Here is a 13,511-nt window from a genome sequence, read left to right on the forward strand (position 1 = left end):
AAGGAACTCCAGAATCTACTCTATGAAGTAGTCCCCTGTGTCAAGCAAGCACTTAAATTTATTCATAAATTAATATATATTTAAATATGACCTTAGCCTAATGATTTTAAAAAGCAATTTTAGGGCAGGGCGCAGTGGCTCACGCCTGTAATCCCAGCACTTTGGTAGGCCAAGGTGGGCGGATCACCTGAGGTCAGGAGTTCGAGACCAGCCTGGCCAACATGGTGAAAACCCGTCTCTACTAAAAAATATAAAAATTAGCCGGGCGTGGTAGTGCATGCCTGTAATCCCAGCTACTCCGGAGGCAGGAAAAACGCTTGAACCCGGCAGGTGGAGGTTGCAGTGAGCCAAGATAGCGCCACTGCACTATACCCTCGACAAGAGCAAAACTCCGTCTCAAAAAATTAATCATAAGCAATTTTACTTTTTTGAATATTAGCCTTAAAATTGAGTAGTCAAATTTTATTTTGATGTAATGAAATAGGAATAATTATCTCTTAAGTTGGCGTTTAAAATGTCTGAGGCAAGAGATTTCTGGAAGGCTTTTGACTCACGGAAGAGATCAAACCCAAGGATATGTAACTGAGCGCTTTTGCTTAGCCTCCAACGTGCTAGCTCTGCAAGTCAGCAGCCCTTCCCCCATGGCCAGATTCAGGACAAACAAGCCTTTCCAACCATGAAGTGCTGAGGTTCTCTTACACAGCAATCAGCCACATCCCCTGGTTAGCCTGAGGCTCAGCAGCTCCATGGGAAATAACTTGCACCTGTCTGTAATTGGATCTTTAGACGTATACAGACATGTTTGATCAGAGTTCGATTTCCCATGCAGCTAATGAAGCTTAAGCCGCAGGGCCCCCTCTCTTGCACAAGTTCCTTCCAAGTCCCTGAACCTAATTGTGTATTTATAAGCCTGTATTCTTGTTCTTAAAGGAGCCCTCCCAATAGTTGGGTAGGCTTTTAAGGCCCACCATACCTGAACCCTCCCCTGTGCCTGAGGGACACTAGGAGCAGGAGGGGTGATGATGGAACTTTCCTCCCAGGAAAGGACAATGAGGCCACTGAGAGTCTAACAGTGAAAGACGTTTTGCTAGACAGCATGGTAAACTGTGTGTTAGAGAGAACCTGGCGTGGAGCCACCATCACCCTATGATCCTCTACCCCCACTCCCCAACCCTCATGTGTCTCAGGAGAGAACCAGGAGTTAAAATTGAAGGAACCATCACACTAAGGACTCTCAAATAGTTCTGATTAGTTGTGAACTTTTCTCTTTTTCCCTTTTGGAAATTGGAGAGACCTGGCCATTTGGCAGGTGGAGGTATTAGCTGGCAGAGTCAGGGAAAACTCGCTAAACCAGTGGTTCTCAAGGTGTCATCCCCAGACCAGCTGTAGCAGCAACACCTGGGAACCTGTTAGAAGTGCAAATTAGCAGGCCAAATCCCAGACCTGTGGAATCAGGAATTCTGGGTTGAGGTCCAACAATCTGTTTAAACAAGGCATCCAAGTGATTCTGATACAGGCTCAAGATTGAAGACTGTTGCACAGTGATATATGCCAGGAGCTACAAGCTGTTGGGACTCCTCACTTTCTGTTCATTTTGCTCTCTATGCAGGTTAGTAATTTACCATTCAAGGCAGAATTATAAGAGACTCAGACAAATTTGAACTTAAATCCCATCCCTGCCTTTACTAGCTATATGATGCTGAGCAAATGACTTTTCTGGCCTCAGATTCCTAATCTGTAAAAATGGGGATTATGATATAAATTTGGGGAGATTAAGCATATAGGTTTGTGAAGCATATAGACTAGTGTCTGGGACATAGGAGACTGTCAAAAGTAGCTATTAGTGAGCACTCACTCTTTTCAAAACACCACATTAGGCACGAAGATCCTTGATCCATTGATACCTCCACTTCATTCCACAAAATACTTAAGGAGGTGTGCAAGAATGCCTTCTATGAATTAAAACTGGAACTAGGAGGGAGTAAACTGTTGGGCTTTCCAGGGTTCTATCTCCTTTGCTGCATAGGTGAATGCACCTGGTATCCTGCCGTTCAACACCATCTATACACTTTCAGGTCCCCACTTCATGTCACCAGCCAGACCTCGCTGTCTCTATTGCTGTTCCCACTCAGGTGTATAATGAGGTGTCTTAAACTCACATGAACTCCACATCTTCCCATGCAAACATGCTTCACCCACAGCCTTTCCTATCTCCAGGGCAACTCCAACCATCCAGTTGCACAGGCCAAAAACCTGGGAGTCATTCTTTACTCTCTCCACATGTACCCAAATCTAACTGCTTCTCACCACCTGCACTACTCCACTCTGGTATGAGCCCTGTCATCCGCTGCCTGGATTTCTGCAAGAGCTTCCTAACAGGTTTCCCTGTTTCCACCTGTAAAAGAAAATTTTCCACTTACAACACTTGCATAGTAGATATCAAAACGGAATGCTATGCTCTACCACAACTGGTTCTAACCAACTGAAGCAGATCAAGGACTGTGAACTTTGAGTGACCCCATACCAGACCCTTGTTAGACCTAACCAAAGACTCCTTTCTGACCAGTTAACAAAGGGACATGTTTTATCAACACTATTCCAACCTATCCAGAGCACTACTTTCCAGCCCTTAATCCGCATAACCTCCAAACTCCCTTCTCTCTTTCTCACACTTAAAAAACCCTGACTTTTCCTAATTCATGAGTTACTCAGTGAACTTTTTCACTGGTGTGTTTACATCCACCCCTGGCAGTATATAAACTCATCTTTGATTTTTTTTTTTTTTTTGAGTTTTGTTGGGCTTTGCTTTATATTTTGACATAAATTTGTACTTTTATAGTCTATTGTCAACCTGACAGCCAGCATGATCCATTTAAAACATAAGACATGTCACGTCTCTCAATGTTCACATCCTGCAGTGGCCTGCTTAATGTTTTTAAAAGCAGTTGGGGAAAGTGAAATTTTAATTTTTAGAGACTGTATATTAAAAAAAGCAATAACAGGGAATATTTGAATACCCATCTCAGGGTAAAAGCTTCCTTGATCTGGCTTGCCCCGGTCTTTCCATTCCTCCTGGATTCCTCCAGGCTCGGTCTGTTTCAGCTGAAATGACCACCATTTTGTTCCTGGAACATATCAGGAATGCTTCTACTCCAGGGTCTATCCTCTAGCCCTCCACCTGAAGTGCTTTCTCCCCACCCCCTTCTCCCTGGTTCTCTGCTGGGCTCACTGTCATACTTCCTCTCAGTCTTGGCTCAGTTATGATTTTCTTGGCGAAGCATACCCTGATCACCACTGTTAATACTGCAGCTTATTACACCTACCCTCAAGACCCAATCCTCCTTACCTTGCACTCATTTTCCCCCCATAACACTTATCACTTTCTATAATACTATATACTTTACTTACTCATTAAATGTATTGTTATTACCAATCTTTCCCCCCATTCGTTTTGCTCACTGATGAATTCCGAGCTTCTACAATATTGGCACATATTGGGCACTCAATAACACTTATTACATGAATGGATAGATGAATGGATGAATGAACAGAACTAAAAGATAAAGATCACGAAGACATAGTCCTTCTCCTCCAGGGAGCTTCAAATCTGGTAAATAAGAGACATATACAAAATATGGTAGAATAGGAAGAAATGAATCAAAGGAGGAAAGAGGAGGAGTATTAAATGAAGGCAACTCTGGGTTCTACTCATTTCTTTATTTACCCAGCCTTTTCAAGTTCTTTAACTGATTTTTCTTTATTTTCAGTTCTCTGTCTCTTTCATCTAGTCTGAAGCCCACAGCAGTCAAGCGAGTAAGAAGGAATATGGCATCTTGTCTGTCTTATTCAGGATGAAGAGTAACCTGCTTATTTTGTCTCCTGTGTCCCTTATTCCTTGGGAGGTTTCCCTGGGTGTTATTCTTAAAAAAAGTCAGCTCACGAAGCCTAAGGTTTAAGTCTGTTCAACTTAGTAGTAAATTATGGTAACCTAGGGTAGGGCAAATAGACCTCAGTCAAGTTCATGCAGCAGGATGAGGGTAGTAGCTTCTGAGCATGTGGGCCGAGCTCTGTATCAGTGTGGATCCCATATTTGAAGATCCTTATTCATATATTCCTCAGGAAAACTAGATTCCTTTGCAATTTCTAAATCTACATGAACTAAGATCTCATCAATGACCACTACCACAACACATACATACCTTTACTAATAAACATACTGGATTTAGATGTGAGAATTAATGATGGGTTTGTTCAATATTTTCCTTCCAAGCTGACTGACACAGTTTATAAGCTTATATTTATTTTTCTGGCATTCTTTAGAAATGTTTTTTGGGACAAACAGCCAAGTTTAACATGAATCAAAATCTTGGCCTGCCCTTTCAACTCCTCCACAATAGGCTCCAGCGCCACTCTGATTTTTTCTCTCCTGCAACATTTAATTATTAATCTTGTGACTTTTGAAAAATGTCATGTGGTTTGGTAGTCTTTCAATTAAAAGGAGGGAAATAATACCCTAGTATTTTTCTTGTTCCTTCCACCTCCCCTTACCATTGTCCTCTCTAGTACTGATGAGTACTTTAAAGTTGATTTTTAGGCTGCCCTGAGTTTCTGAATGTTCCTAAACACCATTATTAAAGAAGCCTGCCTCACCCGTCATTCAACTGTACTTAATATTGCATTGCTTGGTGGAAACTAACAGCCATGGAAAGCCATTCAGGGGAAAAAAAGGCCATTGAACAATGTATTGAGGGATGTTTGTGTTTCTCCCTCTCCCTATTATTTAATTGCTTGTAACTGTAAAATTCCCAGCAATAGTAAGTAAAGGCAAAGATCAACATATTCAAGATGCAGATAAATACCAGAAACAATGAAAAAATTAAAACAGTAAAATAATGACAATTGCAGAGACAAATATAAGGTAGGAGAGACACAATTCTCTCTGCCAAGTCTGGTGTGAGTTCCCTAAATGAAGAATCGAGAATTGGCCATTTTGCATGGCCTCTGCAGGGTGGTCTGAGGGCAGGCATCACAGCTAGCGCACACACGTACCTGTGCAGTGTTTTCCAGAAGGTAAATTCTACTTCCTTTAAATGTTATTACTTTAATTTCTGGTACTTTAACAAGTTAAATTTAGTATTTTAAATCTGATAGGCTGGGTGCAGTGGCTCACGCCTATAATCCCAACACTTTGGGAGGCCGAGGCGGGTGGATCACCTGAGGTCAGGAGTTCAAGACCAGCCTGACCAACATAGTGAAATCTCGTCTCTACTAAAAAAAAATTACAAAATTAGCCGGGCGTGGTGGTGCATGCCTGTAATCCCAGCTACTTGAGAGGCTGAGGCAGGAGAATCGCTTGAACCCAGGAGACAAAGGTTGCAGTGAGCTGAGATTGTGCCACTGCACTCCAGCCTGGGTGACAAGAGCAAAACTCCATCTCAAAAAAATAAAAATAAAACAAACAAATAAATAAAATAAATCTGATATTTTAAAACCACACACCATGGCTGGTCAGAAGTCTTTATGACCATGAATTAACAAGTGTTTGAATTATTCTTAAAAATGTTAGCAAAGAAATAGTCTGTGCAAAATCTCAAGGGGAATAATTTTGTTTCACCTTTAGTCTACATTACGGTGAGCATCTGTATTCAGTCCTAAAGTTTTTAAAACTAATTTTTTAAATTAACAAACAATAATTGTATATATTTATTGTATACATGATGTTTTGAAATATGTATATGTTGTGGAATGGCTAAATTGAGCTAATTAACATATGCATTACCTCTAATACATTCTTATTTGTGGTGAGAACACTGAAAATCTACTCTCTTTGCAATTTTCAATAATACAATACATTAACAATGGTTACCATGCACTGTCATAAAAGTTTGATGCTTCGAAGCCCTTTCATAGTTTATGCAGGCAAGGAAATATTAATAGCAGAGTCTTTGATCTCCATAAAATATGTGTTCTATCACACTGGAAAATATGATTGCCAGTAAGAGAACTGCTCTTTTTGGTGGAGTAAATATGATTTTCATTTTGACAATGTAATTTTGCTTCTTGTGAATCATCTTACACCAAAATAGCCATAGGATTTTAGAACAAGAAATGGATCTTAAATATTTATTTGAGTCTGGCTTTGGAAGTATCTCCTCCACTTCCAGCTATGGTTTGACAAATTACTCAGCCTGTCTAAACTTCAGTTTCCACAGTTTCACGTTTTTAAAAAAGGGTAAAAATAACTACTGAAGATTAGTTGTAAGAATTGAATAAACTAAAGTACCATGGAATTACCTAGCAAATGGCAGATATTCAACAATGTCACTGTTATAATAATAATCATTATTATAAAAAAGAAAACTGAGGCCCAGAAATGAAGAAACCTATCCAAGACCATGGCAGGGCAGAGACATGACTTCCAGGCCAGGGTCTCGTCTTTTGTTTCGTCTTCGGGTCCATTTAATTAAAGTTGTATATATCTTTGGTGTTTTATATGGCAGGCCACTCTTATAATTATTGTTTTAATCTCATAATAATGTCGAAGACTACAGAATTAAAATTCTACTCCTCTAGTAAAATGATAGCATGGATCAATATAGTAATATCATAAGAGGTGAATGAAATGATTCCTCAAGAGGACTGACATTAAAAGGTTATTAGCCTTAGCTTGAACTTCCCTGAAATCACAAGCTTAAGCCTAGCCACTTTCTATAAGTCAGGGTAGGCCAAGTTATGCTGTGATGATAAAGAACCCCCAAATCTCAATAGCTTAAAACAGCAATTTGTTTTTTTCTCTCCCACAACATGTTGATCCAGGATCCTGGCTAGTGGAGTAATTTGGGTCACTTGTAGCAGAAAGAAAAGAGGGTTATGGAGGGTCTCCTAATGTCGATTTAAATTTTCTGGTAAGAACTGACGTTTCATCACTTCCACTCACACTCATTGGCCAGAACAAGTCATATGACCACACAAACTTCAAGGTACCAGGGAAGTTCAATCCTCCCATTGGCTGGAGATAAATAAGTGGGCCCATCAGTGAACAGCCCTAGTGACTACCATAGGCTTTGACATATTTTCTTTTCTTCTTAGACAAATAAAAAACAGCAGCCTGAGAAAGGATGATGGAAACTATTTTCATTTTCTCATGAATTATCAAGTTCTAAAGAGCAGATTTAATTTTTTGTCATTTATACATTTTTGTTTGTTGGCTTTATACATTTTTGTTGTAGTCACCAGTGAAATATGAATGTTTTTAAAAGCAGTTGGGGAAATTGAAATTTTAATTTTTAGTCTATGTATTAAGAAAAGCAGTAACAGGGAATATTTGAATACTGATTTTTTTCCTTCCTTCCTTCCTTCCTCCCTCCCTCTGATCTTCCCTCCCTCCCTCCTTTCCCTCCCTCCCTCCTCCTCCTCCTCTCCCTTCCTTTTTTCCTTCCTACCTCCCCTTCCTTCCTTCCTTTCTTCCTTCCTTCCCTCCCTTCCTTTCCTTCCTTCCCTTCCTTCCCTCCCTTCCTTTCCTTCCTTTCCTTCCTTCCTTTCGTAGAGTCTTGCTCTGTCACTCAGGCTGGAGTGCAGTGGCATGATCTTGGTTCACTGTAGCCTTGAGCTCCTGGACTCAAGCAATCCTTCCACTTCCGCATCTTGAGTAGCTGGGACTACAGACATGCACCACCAAGCCCAGCTAAATTTGTGTGTTGGGTGGGGGATGGGTCGTAGGGGTATTGGGAGGGGTGCGTCTCGCTTTCTTGCCCAGATGGGTCTCAAACTCCTGACCTCAAGTGATTCTCCTGTCTCAGTCTCCCAAAGTGCTGGGAATACAGGCGTGAGCCACAAAGCACAGCCTCTACTATACTTCTGATGAGAATTTATTAATCATCTTAGACGTAATAATGGCTATTTTGGATTTTGTAGAGGTTTTTAAAGATTTTTTAAATTCGTTTTATCTTTCAGAAATATATACTGAAGTATGAATCAAATGATATAATGATATTTATTTCTAAATAATCTGCAGGGTGGGTGGGGACAGTGGGCGGGGCTATAGAAGAAAGAGGATCAGCCATGAGTTGGTGATTATTGAAGCTGGGTAATCAACGCGTGGAAGTTCATTATGTTAGTCTGTCTAGTCCCTCTACTTTAGGTACGCTTGGAACTTTCCATAATAAAAAGTTCAAAAAGACAAAAGAAGCAATGATAGGCCTACAGCTACTTCAGATCTAGATGAAGCTCCACTAGAGATGGCTAGCAAGGATCTTAGCCCGTTGCTGGTGCAGGTGGGGCCTGCCTGAGGGTGCATCAGGCCCTAGGAAATATTTCCTCCACAGAATTTTCACTGTTGCCAAACGTCTGAATCAACCAATCTTAGCCTGCAGTGGCAGCCAATGGTGCCCATGCTTTGCAGCATCTACTGGGACCTCAGGACCACCTGCTCTTGTCCTCTAAAGAGGCAGTACCCAGGAGCCTCCTGAGGCCATGATTGCTTGCACAGGTTAGCACAGAAGGCTTGAGTCCAGCTCTGAGCTAATTTCCTCTTCTCTGGTTAGTCTGAGACCCTGGTAGGACACTAAAGTTCGTTTGTTCACTAACATGATACGCACAGACTTTTGATGTCTCTGAGGCAGGCAGAAGCATGTGAGGCATTAGCCTGAGCCAAACACAGGCCTAGGATATGACCTGAGAGCTGCTGCAGATGCACCTCCCTGCCTCCTGAGGCCCCTGCTTTCATCACAGCTCCTTTCCCTTGAGCAGCCTGCTCTCAGCTCTAGCTGCTGCCAATCCCTTCCCATCAGAGATGCAGGCTGTAAGCATCACCAGGGTGAAGTCTGGTGCATCACCCGTTTGTTCTCCCTCTGAGAGCGCAGCTCCCCTGCCCACAGCGGTGGACCTCTGGCACACAGGCTTGTTCTTCATGGTCTTGCCTTCCCTGCCATAGTTAATTGGCCATGGACTCCTTTCCCACATTGGCCCAACCAGATTCTCTTGAACGTTTTCTCCAAGAAATATGGATGTTGAAGATGAGTCTGAATTATGTAAAATGTGAAGCTTACATGACTGTCTATGAACTTTTGCTACAGAGGTACCCTTAGCCCCACCCTGCCAAGAACTGGTTGCTCAGCATTTCCATGGATGCCATTGAAACTGGACTTTATGTATACAAAGTTACATACATATATAGTTTCGTAGTTACATATATGTATAAATAGATATATAGTTACATATGTATGAAACTATATATGTAGTTCCAATGACATATATATACACGTATATATATACGTATACATGTACACGTATACATATATATGTATATATACGTATACAAGTATACGTATATGTGTACGTATGTATACGTATATGTGTACGTATATATACATATATACATATATATATCTCATATATATATATTTCATATATGAGATTGAGGTTGCTTTCTTTGCCAAGTGACTAGAAGGGTGTGGTGGGAAACCTCTAAGACAGCGCCGATTATCTCTACATTCTTCTGTAAACACCCCCACCCCTTGTGTGGGCCAAAGCTAATAACGTTTCTGTTGAATTAAACATGGCTAAAGTGGTGTGTTTTTACTTCAAGTTTAGTTTTAAAAAAAATCTCTGTGTCAGCCTGATGTGGTGGCTCATGCCTGTAATCCCAGCACTTTGGGAAGCCGAGGCAGGTGGATCACCTGAGGTCAGGAGTTGGAGACAAGCCTGGCCAACATGGCGAAACCTCATCTCTACTAAAAATACAAAAATTAGCCTGGCGTGGTGGCGGGTGCTTGTAATCCCAGCTACTTGGGAGGCTGAGGCAGGAGAATTGCTCGAACCCAGGAGGCGAAGGTTGAAGTAAGCCGAGATTTCACCACTGAACTCCAGCTTGGGCGACAAGAGCAAAACTCCATCACTGAGCCCCTGTTACATGCCAGGAGATGCAATAGCACAGGAGATACAGTGCTGAGCAAAACAGCACAGTCGCTGGCCCTGCAGACTCCACCACTATTCAGCAGGACACTTCCTTGGAAGGTGAGAAAAACGAACTCAGACCAGATTGGCCAGAAAGGTAGACATTATCATGAGGAAAAGGAAGTGTGCCGTGGAGACCTGAGAAGGGGGCTGTGGCTGGGTCCCAGAAAAGGATAACACTTGGAAGAGGAAAGTCTCTGAGGACACTTTTTATCTATGTGCCTCTCATCAGCTTCAGTCCTGTCCCTGAAGATGGGTGTTCCTGTTACTCCATCCCCATGGCATAAAACATGTCAGCTGCAGTCTGCACAGAACGGACAGAACCAGAATTTCAGACTCATTTTCAGTTGCAGGAAGTAGAGGCCGGGCCCACCAACTGTGTTTGGGAGGGGGTGGGGCCAAGGGTGCAGTATTCCAGTGCACCCACAGTCCTGGGTGCTCTTCTATTCCTGTAGGTAACAAGGGCAGTGAGAGGATCACTGTGAGCTTGGCTGATTCCCCCACATGTTATACCCACCAGGCCTAAGTCTCACGCGTAGGAATCTGAAAGTCTTTGCACTGACTGCTGGAGGCTATAAAATCACCAACAGTAACCCATTTTGGGGTTCATCAGAAATTAATGGGAATGCTTATTCCCCCTACCCCTTTTATGTTTTGTGTTTTTGGACAGGGTTTGCTCTGTTGCACAGGTTGGACTGCAGTGGCGCCATCATGGCTCACTGCAGCCTCGACCTCCCAGGCTCACTGCTTCTCCCAACTCAGCCTCCCAAGTAGCTGGTACTACAGGTACACACCACCACACCCAGCTAATTTTTATTTATTTTAACAGAGCCGGCGAGGGAGGGGGGGGTCTCACTATGTTGCCCAGGCTGGTCTTGAACTCCTGAACTCAAGTGATCCTCCCACCTTGGCCTCCCAAAGTGCTGGGATTACAGGTACTTAGTAGGAAAGTCTGGAATCAAATACAAATACTAAAAAGCAGGAGAGGGAAATGAACTACATGTCAAATCTTTGCTCAAGTCATCCTCTCTTGAGCTCTGCTCTGGCACCATACCCATCAAAGCTCTTGTCATTATCACCTAGCACCCAGGTCTTGGGATGCAGACCATGCAGCTGCCTGAGGCCCAAGAGCAGAAAATGTTTCTCTTTGATAAATTCTCAAATTTACAATGAAAATATTATTTAATTTTTTTCTCAAGCAATCTCTTCCTATTATAGGAAGGGAGAAGGGGCAGGCAGAGTAAGTGAAGGAGAGCCAGGTTTTCCAGAGCTGCTGGTGCAGCCCCCCAGGCCTGTGCCCTGTGACTGTCCCTAAGCTGCCTTGCTTGGGGCCAAGAGGATCTTGGCTCCCCAGCTCTTCCCAGGAGTTCATGGGTCGAGCTGGTCCTTTCCCTGCTCTCGGGTTCACCAGGGCTCCCAGGCCTCTCTGGGGGAATTAATTTCCCCTCCTTCTCAGGCCCAGGTTTGCATTCCCGGATCACAGTCTTGCCAGACTGTTCTGCCTCCTTGCCTGTGGTCTCTGCAGAGCCAGGTCACCATCCTGTGCTATCTCAAATTTGCTTTGTAAATGATTGTTTAAAAATACATTTTCCCACAATTAAGCATAGCAGTTTGCGCAGATTGTTGCTGTACATGCGATATAGTATCTTCCAGAGCCTAAAATGTAAAATTTCAGAAAAATCTAAACAACTAAAGGTGAACAAAAGGGATGTTACTTTTACTATGGATTTGGGGGACACTTGCAGAAGGTATGCTGAGCAAAGGCACTCCTTTCTCCCTACAGCCTTCCACAAATGCAGTAGAAACACGTGAGTGTTACATGGACAGTTCAGTCCATGGTGCTGGACATTGAGGATTATTTTTTCTAATTTTTTTATTTTTTGAGACAGAGTCTTGCTTATTATTTTATTTTTTGAGACAGAGTCTTGTCGCCCAGGCTGGAGTGCAGTGGCACAATCTAGCCTCACTGCAACCTCTGCCTCCCAGCTCAAGTGATTCTCCTGCCTCAGCCTCCCCAGGAGCTGAGATTACAGGCAGGCGCCACCATACCTGGCTAATTTTTGTATTCTTAATAGAGACGGGGTTGCACCATGTTGGCATGTGCCACCATACCTGGCTAATTTTTGTATTCTTAATAGAGACGGGGTTGCCCACCTCGGCCTCCCAAAGTGCTGGAATTACAGGCGTGAATCACCACACCTGGCCAAGGATTATTTTAAAGCTTTTGCTTCCTGATTACTTTTCTATCTATAGAAGTTTGTATTTTAATGGGGATGTGTGAAAGAAATGCAGATATTTTAGAAGCTGTTTTCTCCCCTTATGTTGAATTGGGATGTTTTATGTGGGCTATATTATGAGAAAGTAAGGATTTAGATAAAATACTCAATACATGCATTTGAAAGCTATTTTAAATTAGATTTATTTTCCTTGTCCATTAAAAAGGTAAAGAGAACATTGCAGAATAATAGAAATTGTTTAATTAAAAAATCTCTTGATTCATAAAAGTTTCACAGCTACTGGCCCTACATCATGGTTAAGGCTTAGGCTCAAGCCTACAACTGCCTGAGTTGCTTTTTGTTTGGTTGGTTTTTAACTTTTTATTTTGAAGTAATTATAGATTCATGCACAGTTGTAAGAAATAAAAACAGAAATCCTGTGAACCCTTCATTCAGTTTCACCCACGGGTAATATCTTGCATACTACTGAACACTACTGAAACCGGGAAATTGACATTGGAACAATCCACAGAGCTTTTTCAGATTCCACCAGCTTTAATACATCCTGTGTGTGTGTGTGTGTGTGTGTGTGTGTATTTAATCCTGTGCAACTGTATCACACATAGATTTCGGTATCACACCACCACCACAATCAAGACCCAGACCTGTTCTATCACCACAGGACTTCTCATCCTACCCTGCTATGGCTTCAGCCACCTCCCTCCCTACCCCTCTGACCTGGAACCCGTTCTCCATTTTGATAATTTCGTAATTTCAAGAATGTTACACAAGAATGTTATGGAATTAGACAGTATGTGACCTCTTAAGATTGGCTTTTTTTTCTCCCTCAGCATAATTCCCCTAAGATTTGCCTGAGGTTTAATACTGACTTCCTGCCTCACTGGCTGTGTGCTTTTGGGCAAGTTATTTAACATCCCTGTCTCAGTTCCATTCAGACACAGGCCCGCCTGACCATGAAGTCTCATTGTCTACCCTCCACACACCTTCTGCTTCTCACTTGCAGTTGAGAGGAGGCCTTCCATAAGCCGTATTGTGTGTCTCTGTGGAATCTTGGAACATGATTGCGACCTTGAACTTCTATTTTTGTTTAGAGATGAGGTCTTGCTCTGTTGCTTGGCCTGGAGTGCAGTGGCACAATCAAAGCTTATTGCAGCCTCGCACTCCTGGGCTCAAGGATCCTCCCACCTCAGCCTTCTGAGTAGCTGGGATTACACGTGCATGCCACCATGCCCTGATAATTTTAAAATTTTTTTGTAGAGATGGGGTCTTGCAATGTTGCCCATGCTGGTCTGGAGCTCCTGGCCTCAAGTGATCCTCCTG

The 13,511-nt window shown here is 42.5% G+C and overlaps 1 long non-coding RNA gene across 1 annotated transcript; it reads left to right on the plus strand.

Moving 5' to 3' along the window:
- The first annotated feature begins 357 nt into the window (after positions 1-357).
- LOC124905591 (uncharacterized) lies at positions 358-4,656 on the plus strand. Its single transcript, XR_007087148.1, has 2 exons — positions 358-1,609; positions 3,768-4,656. It is a non-coding gene; the product is annotated as an uncharacterized LOC124905591 (long non-coding RNA).
- The last annotated feature ends 8,855 nt before the right edge of the window (positions 4,657-13,511 follow it).

This window comes from Homo sapiens, chromosome 2 (genome assembly GCF_000001405.40).
Source record: "Homo sapiens chromosome 2, GRCh38.p14 Primary Assembly".
NCBI classification, from domain to species: domain Eukaryota; kingdom Metazoa; phylum Chordata; class Mammalia; order Primates; family Hominidae; genus Homo; species Homo sapiens.